The sequence below is a fragment of the Homo sapiens genome, chromosome 6 (genome assembly GCF_000001405.40).
Source record: "Homo sapiens chromosome 6, GRCh38.p14 Primary Assembly".
Taxonomy (NCBI): Eukaryota; Metazoa; Chordata; class Mammalia; order Primates; family Hominidae; genus Homo; species Homo sapiens.
In genome coordinates, this window is record NC_000006.12 from 11407233 (window position 1) to 11430345 (window position 23113).

The 23113-nt window shown below is 41.4% G+C and overlaps 2 long non-coding RNA genes across 6 annotated transcripts in view; both read left to right on the forward strand.

The window, feature by feature from the left end:
• The first annotated feature begins 10130 nt into the window (after positions 1 to 10130).
• The window catches only part of LOC105374928 (uncharacterized), a 106762-nt gene continuing 93779 nt past the window's right edge, over positions 10131 to 23113 (forward strand). For 3 of the 5 annotated variants that reach the window (NR_187824.1, NR_187825.1, NR_187826.1), the window contains exon 1: positions 10131 to 10347. This is a non-coding gene — a long non-coding RNA (uncharacterized LOC105374928). Of the gene's footprint in view, positions 10359 to 23113 lie in introns of all 5 variants that reach the window. The other 2 variants (NR_187827.1, NR_187828.1) reach the window with 2 other exon arrangements.
• Positions 10387 to 22328, forward strand: LOC105374929 (uncharacterized). Its single transcript, XR_926485.3, has 3 exons — positions 10387 to 10584; positions 19361 to 19539; positions 22069 to 22328. It is a non-coding gene; the product is annotated as an uncharacterized LOC105374929 (long non-coding RNA).

The window sequence follows — 23113 nt, forward strand, 5'->3', positions numbered from 1 at the left end:
TGGTGGTCAAGTTCACAATGCCCATTAATTCATTCATGTATTCATTCAGCAAACATTCATTAAACAGTATCTGCCAGGAATTGAGACATAGAAAAAACACATAATTGTTGCATAGTAGAAAGGCTATAAATGTCTAAAGGTAAGAATCCCCTGTATCATCTTCATGCCTCTGTCCCTGATATTTAACTCTCTCCTTAAATATCACAAGGTGGGCACTCAATAAATATTTGTAAAATAAAAGAATGAACTCATATCTTGGCAGAAAATACAGGTATGTAAAGGACTGTAATAAAGTGGGATGACCATTCATTCAACAAATATTGATTGAACGTCTACTAAGTGCTAAGTACTACGTCAAGCCAGACAGATGCAGTCCTTGGTCTTAAGAAGTTCACAGTTAAACATTTGCATTGTAAGTATTAAAGCTGTGATGAGTGATGTGAAAAAGGCCAAGGCCTAGAGAGCATGTAACAAGATGTTTGCCTGGCACATGTGAAAGCCCAGTACCCCCCAAAAATGTCAGATTACATTTCAAAAATGGAAAGATTGATAGAGTTGAAACATTTTAAATGAGGGAAAAGAAAGAGTAGGAAAAGATGAGGTTAGAAAGAAAGCAAAGATTGGATTCCCAGGGTAAATGAGGAATGCAGGGCTTATCTCAAGAACAATGAGAAGCTTTTCTAAGGTTTTAAGCAGAAGCAAGGTATGGTAAGTTTTAAATTTCATAAAGTCACTCTGCCTTGAGGACAAAGAATGTCAGGAGATCAAGAGTGTATGCTGGGTTCGGTGGCTCACGCCTGTAATCCCAGCATTTTGGGAGGCCGAGGTGGGCGGGTCACCTGAGGTCAGGAGTTCGAGACCAGCCTGGCCAACATGGTGAAACCCCTCCTCTACTAAAAATACAAAAAATTAGCCTGGTGTGGTGGTGGGCACCTGTAATCCCAGCTACTCGGGAGGCTGAGGCAGGAGAATCACTTGAACCCAGAAGGCAGAGGTTGCAGTGAGCCCAGATTGCGCCATTGCACTCCAGCTTGGGCAACAAAAGCAAAACTCCATCTCAAAAACAAAAAAAAGAGTGGACAGTTGGAGACCAGTTAGGATGCTACTGCAGTAATCTAGGTGTGGAGTGACGTTGTTTTGAACTACAAGGGCAATATTGCAGACAGAAAGAAGTGGACTGATCCTAAATATATCTTGGATGTAGAATTGATAGACCTTGATAATTGGATGGTGGGTGGGCTAGGCAATAACAGCAGGGAGAGGGACTGTCAAGCATAACTCTTAAGTATCTTGGCTTGAGAAATTTCATGAATGTTTATGTCATTTTTTGGCATTTAAAATACTGGGGAACAATCGTGTTTTTGGATAAACATTATTGATTAAGTTGTGGATACTGTCAACTTAAGATACCTGTGAAAGACCTAGATGGAAATGTTGAATAGTTTAAATGATATTAATTAGGTGACTGCCTGACCCAATATTATTCCTCTAGTAATTATGGGTGTTCATATGGCCCAATTCAAATCAATCAGAATATCATCATGCCCAGAACACAATGACTGATTCCTAGAAAAGCCATATGAGCCTCACTGGACCAATCTAATTACTTCTCTTAATCTGAATGGGGAGAACAGATTTTTATACTCCGGTTGCAGAGCTGTGACCCTGTAAGTTCAGAGCTGTTGATGAACATGTCACCTCTGTGGGGATGATGTTGGATTGAAAAAATGAGGGTACCATACAGAGAAAGAAGAGGCAGAAGAAAAGACTACTGAGAATATAGGCATTCCCTTGTTTCTGTCCCTGGCTTGGTTACATGAGCTGAGTTGGTATTTGTCTATTAATACATTTCTTTCTCTGTCTCTGTCTCTCTTTCTCTTTCTCTCTCTGTGTCTCTGACTCTGCTTTATTTTAGCTAGTTCTCAGTGGTATTTTATCATTTATAATCATTCATGATGATGCTAGCAATTTAAGTATGCAGTTGGATTTGCAATTTCTCTTACTCAGAAAGAGATTAACTGTAGACATGTTGTTGAAAGTTGTAGATATTGATTTAGAATTTGAAGCCAGGGAGTGAATTAGATCACCAAGAAAGAAAGAGGAGAACTGAGGTATAAACTCTAAGAATTCTAACACTAAAGTTTCAGGAGAGGTGGATGAATTCTCAAGGAAATTGGAAGAAATGCCTCAAGTCATTGGAGGAAAACCAATAGATTGTGGTGTGTAAGAAGCCAAGGGTGTTTTAAAGATGTGGTGGTCAACTGTATAGAATCTTCAAGACAGGGAAAAAGTGCAGTAAGAACTGGCAATCAGCCATTGGATTGGGTAGTGCAGAAGTCATTGCTGCATTTTCCAAGAATAATTTCAGCAGAGTGGAGGGGTCAGAAGCCAGTTGGAGTGAATTGAAAAGGAAATGGAAGTGGGAAAGTAAAGCCTGAATATGGAAACAATTCTTTTAAGGATTTTAGCTGTGAAGGGGAGACTATGGAAAGGATGGCAACTGGAGAGGGAGCTCCAGAAAGGATATTGTTTACTTTTTTTTTCTTTTGGATGAGAGGGACTAAAACCAAATTATATTTAAAGATCTATTAGATCTTTAAATCTAATAGAGGGACTAAAACCAAATTATATTTGGTTTAAATCTTTAAATCTAATAGATGGACTAAAACCCAATTATATTTAAAGATCTATTAGATCTTTAAATCTAACAGAGGGACTAAAAACCAAATTATATTTAAAGATCTATTAGAACACACAGGAAGGAGCAGCTAACTCTGCCTAGGTGAGTAGAGAAAGATTTCCTCAAGGAAGCTGGGTCTTAAATGGCAAGTAAAGCTGGCAAGTAAACATTTCCTCAAGGAAGCTGGGTCTTAAACGGCAAGTAAAAATGGCAAGGAAGCTGGGTCTTAAATGGCAAGTAAAAACTTTCAATAAAAGAAGGCATTGGCCGGGTGCAGCGGCTCACGTCTGTAATCCCAGCACTTTGGGAGGCCGATGCAGGTGGATCACCTGAGGTCAGGAGTTTGAGACCAGCCTGGCCAACACGGTGAAACCCTGTCTCTACTAAAAATACAAAAATTAGCCAGGTGTTATGGTGGACGCCTGTAATCCCAGATACTCAAGAGGCTGAGGCAGGACAATCGCTTGAACCAGGAAGGTGGAGGTTACAATGAGCCGAGATTGCACCACTGTACTACAGCCTGGACAACAGAGCAAGACTCCATCTAAAAAAAAAAAAAAAAAAAAGGCGTTGCATAGAAAAGGAAGATTGTATGCAAAGACACAGTGGTGTGTTTGGGGGATGTTCAATAGGTCAGGGCATGAAAAACTTTAGCTCTGGACCTTGTTAGGGAGAAAGAAAAATGCCACAAGGCTTTTTGTACCTTTTATCTTTGTTCTTAACTTCATCTTTAAAATAATTAGATCAGGCCTGATTATGTTTAAGGTCTACTCCACTATTAAAATCCATAGTGACTGTTTCGTTAGATTGATAATACTCCCAGAAATGAATAATCCACTGCAGATGTTTCCTGAAATTATGCTCTATAATGTGTGGTGAGAGGCTCCTAGGAAGTTGGAGGCTCAGCCTAAAGTGGCCCACTTAGAAAAAAAAATTGTGAAGCATATTTGAAGTTTATTGTGTTTTATCTTAAAAGATCATGTACATCCTATTTCTGAATAGATCTGGCAGGATTTTCTTAATAAAGTGTTTTATTATTATTCACTGATGTCCCGGGAAGATAGGCCAGCCTCAGCCTTTAGATTTAATTATTTCCTGGTAGCTACTTACATAAACTCTGAGTAACAATGAAAGTCCATGCCTGGAACCTATTTTCTACTCTGAGTCTTCTCACTTGCCCACTCACTGCCAGCTTCACAGAGGCACAGTCTGAGCACCAGCTCTCTGCAGAAGTGAAATACAGTGGAACGTGGGGATGAGAAGAGGAGAGCAGCAAGAGTAGTTTCACTGGGTTAACTGATCTGTATCAACGTCCTGGGCTGGAGAGAATCAAGTAATGGCATGATGAGCCTTAGCATCTTAGCTGCTCACATATCACATTATTCACATCCACTTGGCTATATGAATTTTCTTTATAAAATAATATGAGAGGCCAGGCATGGTGGCTCATGCCAGTAATCCTAGCACTTTGTGAGGCCAAGGCGGGCAGATTGCCTGAGCTCAGGAGTTCGAGACCAGCCTGGGCAACGTGGTGAAACCCTGTCTCTACTAAAATACAAAAAAAATTAGCCGGGCATGGTGGTGGGCACCTGTAGTCCCAGCTACTCGGGAGGCTGAGGCAAGACAATTGCTTGAAACTGGGAGGTGGAAGTTGCAGTGAGCCGAGATTGAGCCACTGCACTTCAGCCTGGGCAACAGAGCAAGACTCTGGTCTCCAAAAAAAAAAGAATATGAGATATAAAATCCACATCATATTGCCTGAAAGAAAATCGCAACACACATTAATTAGATTCTTGGCAAAAGACTGAAAAAAATGTCCCAGAACTGTTGAAGCAAGTTATTTTTAGACAACTTTACTCTAAAATATGTTGGTTCCTCTGAATGAGTTCACAGCGTATACTGCATACCCCTTTGGTCTGATCCTCTTGAACAAAAACACCTCCATTTTTCCTTTTTATTACATAATAAAATAAAATGAGCAGTCTCCCAGCGCCATCCCAGAAGTACTCCTCCACTGAATGCTCTTTTTTTGTTGGCTTCTATCTACACATTTGCCTTCCTGTGAACCCTTTGCCCTACTTTTGTAACCTAAAGACATTAATAGAAACTTAAGTTCTTTCCACCATTCATTTTGTTTTTTGGTTGTCCCCATTTTTAACTCATGAGGTCACTCTGTGTTTCATCAGATTTCCTACACTGCAGCCTTCTGCTATTTTTCTACTAGAACAGCCGAGGACTAACACTTTATATGGCATTGCAAGGGAAGAAGGATTAAGCCATTGGTAGTTGCAGAGATCTGACTTGGTGATAAGAGATCTGCCAGTGATTAGAGACCCCACCTAGTTGGTCTTAAAATGGAATTAGTCCAGATGGTGCCAATGGGAATTAAGGGACTGCATGGTCCCAGAGCAAACACAATACCTGTCTTTTGGATGCTCTTAATCTCAGGGGCAAAGGAGGGAAATGGGGCTTTCAGAGGCTGAGCCACACATTCCCCCGTGATTATAGTGGTAAATACTTGTGATTTAAAGTGACTGTTTATCAGATACTAGAAATGTCTTTTAAATCCTTAAAGGAGTATAAAGGTCTGTTTGAGAGTCACGTGTTATGGAAATTAACAGGAGTTTTAAAGTCATTTATACATATTTCTGAGACTGCATCTACAAAGGTTTTCAATAATCTTCATTAAATATATATCTTTGGGACGAAACACAAGATTCATCTAGAAAACATGACTTGCGGATAAATATGTTTTCTTTGTGTACCTTTTTTGCTTACAGAACCTCTTCTATGTATAGCTGGACAAATTTCAGGCGCTATATGCAAATAGGCATACCAAGAGTGCTTACTTCTTTGTTTCCAGTTTCCTAGAATTTGGCATCAGAGTTAAAGTAGATTCTTGGTAAATGTACTGTTTTTAGGTACTAGGAAAATCAGAGGCTGTCTGTACTCACAAGGTTTTTCCCCTTAAATTTGTCCTTATCAACTTGTCTGATGACAGGAGGGGCATGGTGGCTCATGCCTGTAATCCCAGCATTTTGGGAGGCTGAAAAGGGAGGATTACTTGAGTCCAGGAGTTTGAGAACAGCCTGGGCATCATAGCAAGACTCTATTCTACCAAAAAATAATTTTTAAAAATTGTCTGATAACAGATCAATGTCCAGTCTTCAGCTTTAAGCTCAAATCTTTGGTGAAATGCACATAATCTGACTGAAATATTTTTTTGTATTGTTATTCATTATACTTTAATGTAAATGAACATTCTCAGAGACTTTGACAAGGAGTGGAGAGGAAAGCTCAGGGGACTGAGTTGCTGTGGGTGATAATGAGGAAAGCATCTCTGAGAGTGAAAATGAATACATCCTGACAGCTTAGTTCAACAGTTATTCATGGGGTGGCCTTGCTCTCGTTCATGAAACTAGTGCATTTCCTTCAAAGGGGAGGAGCTTCCAAACTTTAACATGCTATGTGTGCAAATAGGAATGGAATATATAGTGTCATGGAATCTAAGTCCAGCTGCCATTTTTGGAGGCTCCCTCTTGTGGGCATGCACCCATCTATGTCAATGTGGGCAAATCAAACTTGCCGCCATTAAGAAGTCTTAGACGCGTGCATATAATGCACGTTCTTCATGGTCAACTTTCTTACTGCTGGATGACAGAATTGACTTTTGAGGCTGAATGATGCCAAAATTTCTTGTCACATTACAGAGTTTGCATGTAGTTTTCCTTTCTTTCGATATCTTTGGTTTTGGTGTCAGGTAATACTGGTCTTATAGAAGAAAGCCTCTCATCTTTTATTTTTTGGAAAAGTTTACGAAGGGTTGGCATTCTTCTTTAAATGTTTGGTAGAATTCACCAGTGAAGCCACTTGCACCTGGGCTTTTCATTGTGAAAAGTTTTTGTTGTTGTTGTTAATTTTTATTACTATATGTGTAAGGAAAAAGAAAGATTAGTGGTTGCCTAGTGACCTCTAGGTAGTGACTAATTGCCTAGTGATTTCTAGGAGAAGCTCAGGGTTTCTTTTTGGGGTGATGAACATATTCTATAATTAGATTGTGGTAAGGTTGTGTAATTATGTGAATATACTAAAAATCACTGAATTGTTCACTTTAAATGAGCGAACTAGTATGTGAATTATATTTTTGTGAAGTCATTTAAAAAACAGGTATTGATTCTTTTCATCCTCTCTACTGCTTCTCTTGTTTCTATATTATTAATTTCTGCTTTCTTAAAACTTCTTTAGATTGCTCTTTCTTAAACTTAATTATATTTACTTTATTAATTAATTTAATTAAAATTACATGTTTACCTTTAAGAAGCACTTACAGCTAACATTTTTATAGGTAGTACTTTTATTCTGTTGTAAATATTTTTTAATTCTGTCATAAATGTCTATGTCCCTAAAATCATAGGCTTAAAATACGTAGGTATTTGAATATTTTGCAACATTTACTGTGATTTCCCTTTTTGTCCTCATGAGTTACCTAAGAAGACATGTCAAAAGTTTTCCAGATATGTTTGTGTTTCCTATCTCTTAGTGAATTTCAATTTTTGTTACCATGTGTACTTATCTTTACTCTTACTAATGCATTATGTCTGAAATTCTATTTTGTCTAATACTGATATTGTTACACAAAATTTCTTTGCTTATGTTAAAATAAAAACTTTAGACTAATTAAATTTGGCAGACTTTATTTGAGCAAAGAAAGATTCATGAATCAGGAAGCATTCAAGCCAGAAGGGGTTCAGAGAGCTCTGCCTAGCAATGCAAGCAGCAAGCTTTTACAGGCTGAACACAGAAGCAAAGTAGAGAAATCACCTGATTGGTTACAGGTAAACTTCAACTTTATTTGAACCTGGTGTGATGTGGCACTTTCCTGTTTGGGCATGGCATAATGAGTTGGCTGCCTGTGATTGGCTGAAACTCAGCTATTTGTTGAACTCCTAAATTAAGTTTCAGTTTGTTTACGCACTAAGTTAGGTTGCAGTTTGTTATGTAGGAATTCAAAGAATCAACACAGCCTCAGGCTAATGGCCTTCTACTTATTTAACAATTATTAATTGCAAGTTTTCACTTTTCCCATTACTTTCAATCTTTCTGTCTGATTGTGCTGGAGATTTTTAGTGTTTCTTATAGACATCAACTAGCTAGCTTACAAAGCTCTATCTGTTAGTTTCTGTCATTTATCAGATGCATTTAATTCATTTTCACTGTCATAATCACTGATATATTTGCATTTATTTCTACTACCCTATTTTCCTTTTACTATCCATTTTTATTGGATTTAAAAAATGTATTTCCATGCCTTCTTTTGGATAAAGCTGTTTTTTAATAATATCCTTCATGAATATTACCCCCCACTGTTGGCTTGGAAGCATTTCTATCATTTTAAGGTATTTCAATTACCATCTCTAATCTTCAACTATAATATTTTTCCTAACATCTAAATTTATTGAGAAAATTCCTGAATGTTACAAAACCCCTGGGTATATTTAACTACCTATTAAATAACTACCTCCTAGAGATTTTAAAGATTTCCCAAAATTGCTAAACTAGCTTTTAAAATTGTCAACATTAAATTAATAAACCGACAATTTGTTAATATTGTGTTTACCACTCTTTCTTGTATCCTATGTGCCTTCCCTCTGGGTCGACTTTTCTTTTTGCTTAAATATATCCTTTAATATTTGTGCTCATGAGCATCAATTAATGGTAAACTCTCTAGGCTCTTTAAGAGTCTAAAGGTCTAAAGTTGCCTTTGTCTTTTTTTTTTTTTTTTTTTTTTGAGATGGAGTCTCACTCTGTTGCCCAGGCTGGAGTGCACTGCTGTGGTCTCGGTTCACTGCAACCTCTGCCTCCCAAGTTCAAGCGATGCTCCTGCCTCAGCCTCCTGCGTAGATGGGACTACAGGCACGTGCCACCACCCCCAGCTCATTTTTTGTATTTTTAGTAGACACAGGTTTCCTCCGTATTAGCCAGTACGGTCTCAATCTCCCAACCTTATGATCCACCCCACCTCAGCATCCCAAACTGATGGGATTACAGGTGTGAGCCACCCCACCTGGCCTATTTCTTCTCATTTTTTAAATCATAGTTGGGGAATAAAACTTTAGTCTGAGTTAATTTTACTGAACATTTTGAGCATGATTCTTTCCTGAAATCCTCTGGTGACTGAAATCAGTGGGTTCTTGGTCTCCCTAACTTAAAGGGTAAAGCCGCAAACCCTTGCAGTGAGTGTTACAGTTCTTAAAGGTTGTGGGTCTGGAGTTTGTTCCTTCAGCTGTTCAGACAGGTTCAGGGTTTTTTCCTTCTGGTGGGTTCGTGGTCTTGCTGGCTTCAAGAGTTAAACTGCATACCTTCCTGATGAGTGTTATAGCTCTTAAGGTGATGTGTCTGGAGTTGTTCATTACCCTTTCACGGTCTTGCTGGCTTCAAGAGTGAAACTACAGACCTTTGCAGTGACTGTTACAGCTCACAAGAGCAGTGCAATGCTGACCCAAAGAATCAACAACATCAAGATTTATTTTAAAGAACCAAAAAACAAAGCTTACACAGAGTACAAGCACACCCAACCAAATTGCCACTGCCGGGCTGGAGCAGCCTGCTTTTATTCCCTTCTTTGGCCCCACCCACATCCTGCTGATTGGCCCATTTTACAGAGAGCTGATTGGTCTGTTTTGACAGGGTGCTGATTGGTGCATTTACAATCCCTGAGCTAGACACAGAGTGCTGATTGGTGCGTTTACAATCCTTTAGCTAAACACAAAAGTTCTCCAAGTCCCTACTAGATTAGCTAGACACAGAGCATTGATTGGTGCATTTACGAACATTGAGCTAGACACAGAGTGCTGATTGGTGCATTTACAATCCGTTAGGTAGACACAAAAGTTCTCCAAGTCTCCACCAGATTAGCTAGACACAGAGTGCTGATTGGTGCATATACAATCCTCCAGCTAGACATGAAAGTTTTTCAAGTCAGGACTTGACTCAAGAGCCCAACTGGCTTTGCCTAGGCTCCACCTAGTGGATCCCTTGGCCGGGTCACGGGCGCAGCTGCCTACCACTGCCGCACCGCACCTGCGCTTCTCAGCCCTTGGGCGGTCAGTGGGACCCGGCGCCACGGAGCAGGGGGCGGTGCCCGTTGCGGAGGCTCGGGCCGCGCGGGAGCCCACCATGGGGGGGGCTCGGGAATGGCGGGCTGCAGGCCCCGAGCCCTGCCCCTCTGGGAGGCGGCTGAAACCCGGTGAGAATTCGAGCGTGGCGCGGGTGGGCCAGCAGTGTTTGGGGACCCGGAGCACTCTCCACAGCTGCTGGTCCAGGTGCTAAGTCCCTCACTGCCCAGCACCTGCAGCGCCGACCGGCCGCTCTTGAGTGCGGGGCCTGCAGAGCCCACGCCCACCCGGAACTCGCGCTGGCCCGTGAGCGCCGTGCCGCAGCCCCGGTTCCCGCCCGCGCCTCTCCCTCCACACTTCGCCGCAAGCAGAGGGAGCCGGCTCCGGCCTCAGCTGGCCCAGAGAGGGGCTCCCTCAGTGCAGTGGCGAGCTGAAGGGCTCCTCAAGGGCGGCTGGAGTGGACGCTGAGGCCGAGGAGACGCCAAGAGCAAACGAGGGCTGCTAGTACATTGTCACCTCTCACTGGTAACTACAGTTGCTGTCAGTTTAACTGTAAGTCCTTTGTAAGTAACCTGTCTTTTTATGTCTAGTAGCTTTGAAGGGTTTCCCTCTCTATTTGTTTTCAATGATTTCTAGTTTCACTACATATATTATCTTGTACAATTACCATCTATACCTCTGGGTGCTTGGACTTTGCTCTGAAGACTCGTCTTCACCTCTGGAAAAGCATCAGCAAATACCTCTTCAAATATTGCCTTTCTACCTTTTTGGAAATTCTGTTAGCCGTGTGTAAGTCAGATCTTTCGTTTATCCTCCAAGTCCTTTATTTTGTTATTTTTTTCTCTTTGTCTCTGTGATGCGTTCCAGTGAAATCCTCAGTAGTATCTTGTAGTGCCCTTGTACTTTCTATACAATCTCTCTACCAAGATTTTTTCCAATAAATTTGTTTTTTTGTGTTTAAATTTTTTACATTTTTTAGATCTACCTGTTTTGCTTAATTTATTCTTATTTTTGTTTGCCAATTTTATATCTTATTTTCAGTGGATATTATTTAACTTCTCTTTTATTACCTTAAATGTGCCTATTTAAAAGCCTTTGTCAGACTATTCTTGTACTTTAGTCAAAGGCGGCTTCTTCTTGGTGATTTATATTGGCTTTGCATAGCATTTCTTTATCTTGGTACTATGGTTTCTAGGCTCATTTTAAGAAACAGTTAAGCCTTTTTGGTTTTTGTTTTTCTTCTCTCCTACTCTTTCCTCTCTAGTTTTGTGATAGCCTCCACCTAGCTTCCTGGGGCTCCTTAACCAAAACATGTCTTATGTTGCAGATTTGAACTTCATATAATTTAAGGATTATGACCTCAAAGATTATGATATCAAAGACTAAGGCTTATGGCCAATTTGGTCATAGAACCAGCAGTCAGTTTCAGATCCTGGAAATGAGGCTGTTTTATTTCCTACCAAGGAGGCAATATTCCCAGGAAACAATTAGCAGAAACTTCCCAAGACTTTTCTGTTTCCTTGTTTAAATTAGGGGGATTTCTATCCCAATCTCTGGCTTGATTCCTGTTGCCATTTTATGTAGAGTAATTTTAATTACCATTACTTCAGATGAGCCAAATTCCCAGATGTCTTTGCTTGCTTCCTGCCCCAGAAGTAGGCCCAGAGATTTGTGTATACACTACTGACTGCCTTGTTTTCCGGTCCAGGTGCCTGGTGTGGTTCATAGAAATTTTTGTCTTGCTTTAAACCTGCTTATATCATTTTACTTATTCGTATTTTCCTGTCATTGTTCTTGTTTGAAGCAGAGTTGGGTATATAAGGCATGTACTTACTAATATAATCTTGATGCCTCCTTAGATGAGTCTTCTGTAAATATAACATACAAATTCCTTTAAAATTCCTTGGGGCCAACTGAATTAAACACTTTCTTTGTTGAGATGTTAGCAAGATGGTGGAATAAGACTTTGCAATACTTGTCCCCAAATAGAAACTTCAATCTGAATAACTATCCACGCACAAAAATACCTTCACAAAAGCTAAGAAAACCAGGTGACAGATAACAGCACCTATTCTGTGTGTAGCACAGAAATAAGAAAAGACTCGTTGAAGAGAGTAGGAAGGACAGTTTTACATTACCTGCATCATCCATCCCCCAACACCAGGCAACACAGCATAGAGAGAAATACCCTCTGCTTGAAGAAAGGAGAGGGGAGTGAGCACTGGACTTTGTCTTGAACCCCAACACCAGGCCTACACCAGTAAAACCCAGTACTGGGCAGGTCCGACAGCCCCAGACTTTAAGCTGGTACCTGAGGATGGAGTCTCCATTCCTGCCTCAATACCAGCAAGATCCTGCAGCCTCAAGCTCCAGGCTGTTCGGTGAACTTGATCCTTGGCCCTGCTCTACCACCAGGCTTACTCTAACAGTCGCAGGCTCTAGATTGGTCCCAGTGTCAGTGGCCCCAGTGGCCCCAAGGTTTGGGTCTGCCCCAGAGCCAGGCCAGCCCTCATAGACTGAGTCTCCAGGCCTTCCCTAGAACCAGGACTCGCCAGTCCCATAGTCCCAGGTTTCAGGCCCACTCAACACCAGGCCAGCTTGAGGTTCCAGGTTAGCTCAGAGCCACGTTGGTCCACACAGCTCCAGGCTTCAAGCCCACCTCAACACCAGATTGACACGTCTGGCCCCAAGTGCCAGGCCAGCACCCATGGACACAGGTTCCAGGCTTGCCCAGTGTCAGGCTGGTCTCTGAAACTCCACCCTCTAGGCTGGCCTATGCAGCTCCATACTCCATCAGACACAGGGTCCAGACTCATTCAGTAAACCTCAGTGCTGGCTGGTTCCCACAACCTCAGACTCCAGACCAGATCCTGTGGCTCCAGGCACAGGCCAATAACTGCAATTCCAGGCTCTATACCTGCCCCAGCACATGGCCAGCCAGCTCCAGGCTCCAAGCTGGTCCCCTGGGTCTGCTCCAGCAAACCCAGGTTCCAGGATACACTACAGATCCAGGCTCCAAAACAGCTCCCATAGGCCCAGGATCCAGGTTTGTTCACATGGACTGAGGCTCCAGTCTTGCCCCAGCACTAGGCCAGACCCTGTGGACTCAGGTTCTAGTGGTCTCAGGCACCAGGCTCATCCCAGCACTTGGATGGCCCCTCCATACTCAGGCTCAAGGTCTACCCCAGTGCCAGGTCAGCCACAGGGGACCCAGGCTTCAAGTCAGGACCCCACAGATACAGGCTGCAGGCCCACCCTTGCAGATCCAGGCTACAAGTACATCCTCTCAGACTCAGTCAACAGGTATATTACATTGGCTACAGGCTCCAGACCTAACCTGGACCCAGGCATTAGGCCCACCTACCTGCTGATCCAGGTACCAGGCCAGCTTGCCCAAGGATTCCAAAAGCAAGCCTACCTGTGGACCATGACAGATGGCATTCCTAGAATCTCTGAGGGGACTGACTGGTGAAGGGATTTCCCAGACAAAGCCAGTCTGCAAAGAATAAGTAGGAGATAACCTACTTCTCCAAATGCACAGACACCAATGTACAACCACAAGGATCAAAAACAATCAGGGAAATGTCACCACCTAAAGAACTAAGTAAAGCACCAGTAACCAACCTTAAAGAAATGGAGATGTATGAAATGGGTGACAAAGAATTCCAAATAATGGTCTTAAGGAAGTTTAACAGACTTCAAGAAAACAGAACAAAAATCAGGAGAACAATAAATGACCAACATAAGAGATTAAAATCATTTAAAAAATATCAAACATAGATTCTTTAGTTGAAAAAAGAATGAAATTAAAAATGCAAAAAAAAAAGTCAACAGCAGAATTGATCAAGCAGAAGAAAGACTCAGAATTGATCAAGCAAAATCAAAGACAGATTACTTTAAAATACACAGAGGATAAAATGCAATGAAAAGGAATGAAGAAAGCTTATGAGATTTTTGGGACAGCATCAAAAGAGCAAATATTTAAGTTTTAGGAGTTCAAGAAGGAGAAAAGACAAAGGGGTAGAAAGTTTATTTAAAGCAAAGTTTATAGCAGAAAACTTTCCAAACCTGGAGAAAAAGGTAAATATCCAAGTATGGGAAGGTCAAAAGTTCTCTAATTCAATTCTACCTAAACAAGACTACAGCAAAACATAATAAAATTGTCAAAAATCAAAGACAGGATCCTGAAAGCAGCAAGAGAAAAAAAAAAAATCACATAGGGCATTTCAGTAAGGCTAGCAGCAAATTTCTTACTAGAAATCTTATAGGTCAGAAGAGGGTGGCATAATATATTCCAAGTGCTGAAGGAAAAAAAAAGCTGCCAATCAAGAATACTGTACCCTGCACAGCTAGCCTTCAGAAATGACAGAGATATAAAAACTTTCCCAGACAAACAAAAACTGAGGGAGTTTGTCACCACAAGAACTATCTTATAAGAAACGCTAAAAGGAGCTCTTCAAACTGAAAGAAAAGAACACTAGTGACAGAAAAACATTTTAATGTATAAAAGTCACTGGTAAAAAAAATACAGTAAAATTCAGAATACTCTAATACTGTAGTGCTGGTATGTAAATCACATATCTTTTGTATGAAGTTAAAAGACAAAACTATTAAAAATAATGGTTACAATAATTTAAGTAATATGCAATATAAAAAGACGTAAATTGTCACATCAAAAACATTAAATGGAGAAGGGTGGAGCAAAAGTGTGGTGCTATTGTTTGAAATCAAAATGAAGTTGTTATCAGCTTAAAATAGCCTATTAAAACTAAAAGATGTTATATGTGAGCCTCATGGTGACCACAAAGCAAAAACCTATAGTAGATACACAAAAGATAAAATGTAAGAAATCAAAAATACTACTAGAGAAAAATAATCTAATCACAAAGGAAGACAGCAAGACAGGAAGAAAAGAACAAAAGATTATTACATTAACAACCAGAAATAATCGACAAAATGACAGTAGTAAGTCCTTGCCTATCAGTAATTATCTTGAATGTAAATGGATTAAATTCTCCTATCAAATGATAGGAGAGTGGTTAATGGGCAAAGAAATAAGACTGAATTGTATGCTGCCTACAATAAACTAACTTGACCTTTAAGGACAGACATAGACTGAAAGTGAAGGGATAGAAAAAGATAAAAAAGATATTTAATGCAAATGGAAACCAAAAGAGAGCTGGAGGGTAGCCATGCTTGTATCAGACAAAATAATGCTTTACGTCAAAAACATTTTGTGCTTTCTTAAGCTTTAGAGCAGCCTTGTCCAATAGAAATATAATGCCAGCCACATATGTACTTTTAAATTTTCTAGTAGCTATACTAAAAATATAAAAAAGGTAAAATTAACTTTAACAATAGATTTTATTTAACCCAATATGTTCAACATATTATTCCAAAATGTAATTCATATGAAAATTAGTAAGGTGTTTTTGATTTTTTTATAGTAAGTGTTTGAAATCTGGTGTGCATTTTACACTTACAGCAAGTTTCAATTCATAGCAGCCGCACTTCAAATGCTTCACAGGTACATGTGGCTAGTAGCTTTCAAATTAGATTGTACAGATTTAGGAGAGTTTATAAAATGATAGTAAATTAAATCACTACCACCACTTTGGGTTTTATTGCACCATTTTGTTCCCAGAATTTCATTAAGTAATTAAGACATACAGAGCAAAATTTAAATGGCCTCAAAAGCTGTGTCTTCCTCTATATTATAATTACAATGCTAATATATTTGAAGAACTCACCTTAACTTCTCTCTTTGAAGCAGGGAAAGATTGTGAAGTCTTATGTGTACAAATTTATAATAGAAACAAGACCATTGATATTATCAATTCTGAAAAACTGGTTTCTGTAAAATCAAGTTTTAGTTTTACCCAGGTGACATGAAATGAGAATATAAGATTTGAAATAATCATTACATTAATTACTTACTAAGTTAATTATATATTTAAATTGTATTTACTACCAAAAAAACACTTGGAAAGGCTGGAAGGAGTTAGAAGGGAGTCAGCAGTGTAAAACATGACGGAATTTTGTGGGTGTGTATAAAATTATTTTCAGTTGAGGTTCATTTTCAAAGCCTCCCCCTACTGCAGACAAAGGATATTTGGTTTTACTGAATGTTTTCATTAAGATTTTGATACACTGTTTACAGTCTGACATCCCAAGTGTCTCAGGCAGCTAGGTAGATCTGTTTGGATGCAAGAACTCCCTGTCATCTATGTGTGTCATCTGTGTGGGTGTTAACAAACCTTGCTACTTCTGGAGAAAGTAATGCTCTCAAAACACATTGTTTCATTATTAAGTCACTTGTTTTCTAAAGCATAGGACCATCTCAAAGTTTCGAATCATACTACTTTACAAAACTGCTTATTTATATGGCTTAGAAACATTGATAGTTGATCAACTAGATTTTGTGGCAAATCTTTAGAAATGCTCATTCGTCACATCTTTTGAAACCCATCCTTTTATTGGTAGTGGTTTTCCCTGGTAATTCCCAATCATGTCATATTTAGTGAAAACAATATCAGCAATCACAGAGGTCCATAGCCCTTTCCTCCAGGGAGTCTCCGAATGGTTTCCAGATTGGTGGGGGTGGGGGTCAGTGTTCAAAACCTCCTTGTGAAGAAAGAGGGGGAGGGAATTCATTTCCAATCAAGGTAAGGGGAAGTCAGCTCACAGGATCAAATCATTATCCCCAATCATTCAGTCCATCTGTGCTGTGACATTTCCCTTCTGACTGCATTTCCAACAAGCTGAAACACACCTATTTGGCAAGGACTCCTCTCATGCTGGCTGGGGAGCCATCATATTGCCATCACAGCTGGCTATGACAGGCTGCAGGAGTTTAGAAATTGTTCTTGACATGTTGGGAAGCATTTTTATGTCCTGTCATCACAAATGCATCATTTCCTTGTAAATAGTACTGCCTGCTCTCCAGTTCTTGCCATCTAGTTCCATGGCTTATTTTTCCCTATGACACTTACCACCACGTAACATGCTATATATTTGTGAATTTTCTGCTTCTATCCACCAGCATATAACGTCCACGAAAGCCATAGCTTTGTCTGTTTATTCACAGGTATGTTTCCAGCCCCAGGCACTTGATAGGAACTTAGTAACAATTCATTGAATGAAATTATGGATTTACGTACAAGAACAGTTAAGGAGAGTTAGAGAAACCTATGTGAAAGTCACAGTGCTGTAGTTTATTAGCTGTAAGATCTTGGGTAAGCTGCTCAACGTCTCTGGTTTTCAGGTTTCTCACGTATGAAATGGAGTAATAACATGTATCTTATTGAGGATTAGATGGTGGAAAACTCTCAACTAAGCACAGAACCTGGCTTATAGTAAGCATTCAAAAAAGGGTGGTTACTTGAAAAAATACAGTACTTTTTTAGTGACTCCTCACCTGGAAAGTTAAAACTCAGAATCCTCTCTTCAACTGTGAAGTTTAAACCTCAGGGTCGAGTCACATTCCTTCACCAGTCATGGGCAGTGACCTGGGCATAGCCCTGGTTTCCTGAGTCTCCAGGGCAGCAGGAAATTCCCAGCAAATCTAAACAGTCTTCAAGAATACCTTGTTCCACACACCGGGGCCACAGGCTTGCTTTATATCACAGCCCAGTGGGGACAACTTCGGAGAAGGAAGACGCACTCATGATACCCCACAGCATGGAGCTTTCAACAAACAGATGGAAAAATATTGGTTCAGCCCCTTCTAGCTGGAGATTGTTAGATTGGTTTTGCTGAATGGTGCTTTTCCCTTATTTGGACAGGTTGGGAAGTTGGGGACCTGGGGTTGCATTCCTGCACCCCACATTCCCAGCTCCTTTCCACCCTTGGTGTTGAAATAGGAGATTTGGAATGGCAACAGCTCACTCACCCTGCTCAGTCCCTGTGCTTCTGAAAGACAGATGTTCTTGGCTGGGCACAGTGGCTCATTCCTGTAGTCCCAGCACTTTGGGAGGCAGAGGTGGGTGGATCATGAGGTCAGGAGTTCGAGACCAGCCTGGCCAACCTAGTGAAACCCCATCTCTACTAAAAATACAAAAAACAGCTGGACATCTTGGTGGGCACCTGTAGTCCCAGCTGCTTGGGAGGCTGAGGCAGGAGAATCACTTGAGCCTGGGAGGCGGAGGTTGCAGTGAGCCGAGATCGCGCCATTGCACTCCAGCCTGGGTGACAGAGCAAGATTTCATCTCTAAATAAATAAATTAATAAAAAGATAGATGTTCTTGCTTCTCCTCCTCAGGCTTTCTGGAGGAAGCACACTTCTGAAAGCAAATAAGTACTAAATGTAGAATCTTACTAGTTCCTTAGAGCACACAAGGAATATTTTAGCAATACTTTTAAATAAATGGCATTTTACAAATGCAACACTAAACTGATAAGCATTCCTCACACCTCAAGAAGTGGGTATATGTTGCAGCGCTTCAAATGAGTCAGCGATATAATGTCACAAATTAGGCAAAGATATGAAAGCCTCTTTTAAATTGCGCTTTCATACATGTGAGATATTGTCGTCATTACTCATACTCAATGCTATATTTTTCAGATTAAGGAAAGGGAGGCAAAGGTATTTCAGAGGCAGGGTGGGCAAACAATGATTTCTATTCAAACACATGTGCACGCACAGTGTTTACAAGGCTCTCATGCACTAACTTCTCCCCTCTGGACAGAGAGTGGTCATGTGGGAGCCCTGACCCCACATAAACTGTGTCCATTCCTAGCTCTGGCCTTTGCTGACCCTCCACTCAGGAATGCTAGGAATGCCCTCCCTCTCCTTCCCTGTCCCCAGGCTCTCCATCTACCCAAATCCTGCTCAATCATTTGGACCCCCATCTTAGCACTTGGAGAATCCTTCCCTAAGCATTTCAGTGACCTACCTTCTCCTTACTCAAAACTTCTGTGACATGTTTGTGCTATCCTGTTTTTATAATTGGAAGTTTGTTTCTGTAACCAATTCCCTTCACCCCACTCCCCTCATTGCCTCCCCACCACAGACCCTAACAAGGTAGAGGGTATGTGTAATTCTTGCACAAAAAGGTTACAAATTCTTGTATCCCCTTTTTCTCTAATGGGAAGAAAGAATCTGAAATGCCCCTCTGGAAAGTGATGTACCCAGCAGACAGAAAAGCAGCCTTCAAAAGCTTCTGTAGGGCTTCGTGTTGCTATCTATGGTTCCATGGTCCTGACTGATCCTGAGTGTCCTAACCATGGGTTTTGGGTCCAGAGGACAGCCTGGAGTCCACTGGAGGGTGAGCAGAATTGTGGGGTGAGGAGGAATGTGGGGCAAGTGACACTGACACCTTTCAGTACATTAATGTGTAAAGCATGAATTCTGTAGAAGAGAATTACACTGTATTAGCATGGAATAGATTATGCTGTATTAAGAAAATGTGCCTATTTCTTGACACTGAAACAGATCACATGATCTCCAAAAGTAATGCTAGTTTTTGTAATGGGTGTGTGGGGAGTGTGTGTGTGTGTGTGCGCATGCACACATGCATTTGAATCCAGTTATCTGTGAGATAATAAACAAGTCTCTCTTCTGCAGCTCATGGTAGGGAGAACCCCCACAAGGAGACTGCACTTCAAAGTCCCTCCTGGATCCCATTCAGATCCAAAACTGAGCACCTGCTCTGTGCCAAGAAATGCTCTATGGAAATGAATCAGTTCCCACCATCCAGGAGGTCACAGCCTGCTCAGATGCAAAAGAACTCCATGCAGGCTAAGGTGCAGGGACACACAGCCTGGGGAGGCGTGGGGTGGGGGCTGATAGTTCCAACTTAGATGAAAAAGAAGGTTGCAACATTGATACGAAAGCTAGCTGTAGAAAAAATTCCTTCTCCTGGAGTGTGAACAATTTCTTGTAACTATTTTATTGAGAAATCTAATCTCATGAGGGTTTTTGTTTTTTGTAGCTCTCCTGACTAACTTGGTTTTTTGGTGTGTTTTTTTGTTTTTGTTTTTTACTATCTTTGAGATTATTGAGTTTAGCTGAAAATCCACAAAGACACCAAGGAAAGATCAGCTCTCCACATACACAGGGCCTGCTTGGGAGAACGCTGGTGTAGTCCAGGCCCCACATCACTTCTTCTCTTCCTCAAACTCTCTCAGTGCTCAGAAACCCCTAAACACACATACACATGCTCTCACATATACACATCACACACACTCCCCCACACCCCCATATACACCCCCAACACCACATGTGCACACACTCACATCACACATGTGCATACACACTCCACACACACACGCACTACACACACCCACACCACACACACACAGCCCTCACACCCCATACATACACTCCCGAAAACCACACATACACACATCACACATACACATACTCCCTCGACACAAACACCACATACACACACACCCCTCACACCCCATACATACACTCCCCAACACCACACATACACGCTCACATCACACATGCGCATACACACTCCACACACACAAACACACCATACACACCCACACCACGTACACACACACACCCGCTTCATGCCTGCTACATATACTCCCCAACACCACATGTACATACACACACTGACATACATCATACATACACATACACACTCCCTCTTACACACAAACAGACCACACACACACCCGTACACCACATACACACACACACAGTACACATCATACATACACACCCTTTGTGCTGTGAGGCCCCACAGTGCGAAGGCTGGTGCGTACCAGGCCCCTTGCAGTCTTCCTTCCCATGGCATGACTGCAAGGAGAGGGGAGATGGGGTGCTGGGTCTCCCGCCTCAGACCATTTTCAGCAAGAGCAGCCTCCTGGGGCTCTGAGACCTATCCCCCTTCCTAGTCATATCTTTATATCAAAATTAGCTGTAAACATAACAGTCCTATGACTCACTTGGAATACTACATAGGAAGTCAGGTTTTTGAACAATTTTCCCTTTTTCTAAAGGTTAAAATCAAGGCAGGAAATGCGGAGCATCACAGTACCAAGCCCGTGGGAATGGGGCCCACCCGGGTCCCTGTGCTCAGTCCGGCTCTCTCTGTAGTTCTCCCTGGCCACACCTCTCTGTTTACTCATAATTCTCTTTTCCTAACTACGTGGTGAAGTGGCGTCGGAAGTGATTTCAGATGCCTCCCTCCAGTATGCATTCTCCTGCCCAGTCTACCCTAGTCCACCTTTCTCAGGCTTTGCCCCACAGTTGGCCTCTTGCACTCTAGCCACTCTCTCTCTCGAAAATGCCCTGGGTCTCCCAATCTCCTGGCTGGACTCATCTGAACCCCCTTACCTGAAGAAGTAACCCCTTTCCCTTCCACACTTCCCTAGCTGCATCCAGTCCTACTCCCTCCTGAAAGCATTGCTAAAATCCTGCCTCCTTTATGAAGCCTCCCCCAGTCACCTAGCTTGGAGTATCACTTCTCAGCCTGGAAAGGCTTTACTGTCGTCCTGGGTGTTAATTTCATTTGTTTATTTGACAAATATTTGTTGAACACTTAGAAGGTACTAAAGACACCATGTTAGATGTGGGAGATACAGTGCTAACAGCAACACCATGAACAAGCTTCCTGTCCTATGATGAGTCCCCAGGCTGGCTGCAGGTTCTTTGTAGGGTAAAACTGGGTCTAAGAGCTCTTTGCACCTCTCAGAAGATACTAAGAATTCAATGAGATTTACTGGACCGATTAACTAACAAATGAATACATTCTTTTTTAACACAATGCCATGCAGAGTTTGAAACAACACTGTCAGTAACCCCTCTAAGTAACTAAGGCTGAATATGGAATGAATAGGAAAACATTTAGTCCTTGTTTTAAATATCAAGTGATTGTTTTCTGCATCAAATTTAGAATTCCGGTTTTGCCAAACACATCTCAGAGAAACAGGCTGGCCCCTGAGCCAGACAGCAGTTGTAAACATCTCTTCTTCCTGTTTAGAGACAGTACTGAATTCCAGAGCTGGACCTGTGAAATACCAGCGCTCCTCTCCCTCTAGGGCTTAGAAACGAATCCCTGAGGGTGTTTGTGTGTTTAGACTTCAGTGATGCCCAGTGCTGGTTGAGTGGTTAGCTCACCACACAAACCACCAGGAAAGGGGTTCAAAACAAGACAGATGGGACTTAGAGCAAAGGGAACACAATTACTCAACGGTCCAGAATCTCAATCCTAGAAGCCAAGTTATGGTTAGCCACATTGCTTCATTATTGACCTTGTTTTTTGGTACATATATTCTTTCTTGTACACTGTGTCTTTTTCTTTTTCTAATCAGCCTTCTTCCCACCAACATGGATTGTGCTGAAAGATGGCAAATACTTGTATGCTGACAGTTTTCTACAGCTTAAGACCCGGTTCTTGATGGGAGAAAAATAAACATCATCAGCTGCTTCCTTCCTAATAACCATACTATTTTAAGGGAACTTGAGATTTTGTTTATAAACTACACTGATGGTTATGTAACCAATGAGATCTATATTTCTGGCACATTTCCTTTCATACAGACTCAATTAAAATTTTCAGCCCTCATAGTAATCTTTACATTTTGTGGTTTACTTGACAACCTGGTGAACCTTGACATTTACCTGAAAGTCAGATATGCGTTTTAAGGTATCAGGAGAAAAAGAGTTTTCTTCTGAGGTAAAGGAGGCAGTGTGAGGTTGGTTTCCTGTCTTCAATTAGCATTAGATCATAGGTTTCTCGGCTGGGGGTCCCATGACATCAGGTGGCCAGAGAGATGGAGGAATAGCAGCTCATGAATCACCTGACAGCAGGGGGGATATGGAACAATTCTTTCAAGTCTAGCTGGGACTGTTAACACCCATGCCAGGAAGAGCTGTGTCAGTCTTCTGTAGCCCTGAGCTGGGCAAGGCAGTGGATTTCTGGAGAGGCCTCTCTTTGCATGCCTCAATAATAAAAGACTATCTTTGTCTTAGTTTGTTTTCTATTGCTATAACTGAATGCCACAGACCGGGTAATTTATTTTATTTTATTTTTAAAAGATGTTTATTTGGCTCATGGTTTGGAGACTGGGAAGTCCAAGGGCATGTCCACAGCTTTTGGAAATGGATTTCATGCTGCTGTACGTGGTAGAAAAGCAGCAGGCAGACGTGAGCACAAGCGACCGCAAGAATGAGCTGAGCTTGCCTTTAGAACAACACACTCTGATGAGAACTAACGCGTTCCCGTGATAATGGCATGAAGCCATTTGTAGGGCTCTGCCCTCACAGCCCAATCACCCCTGCAAGGCTCCACCTCTTCCTACTGTTACATTGGCAGTTAAGTTTCTAACACATGAACTTTTGGGAGCACACATTCGA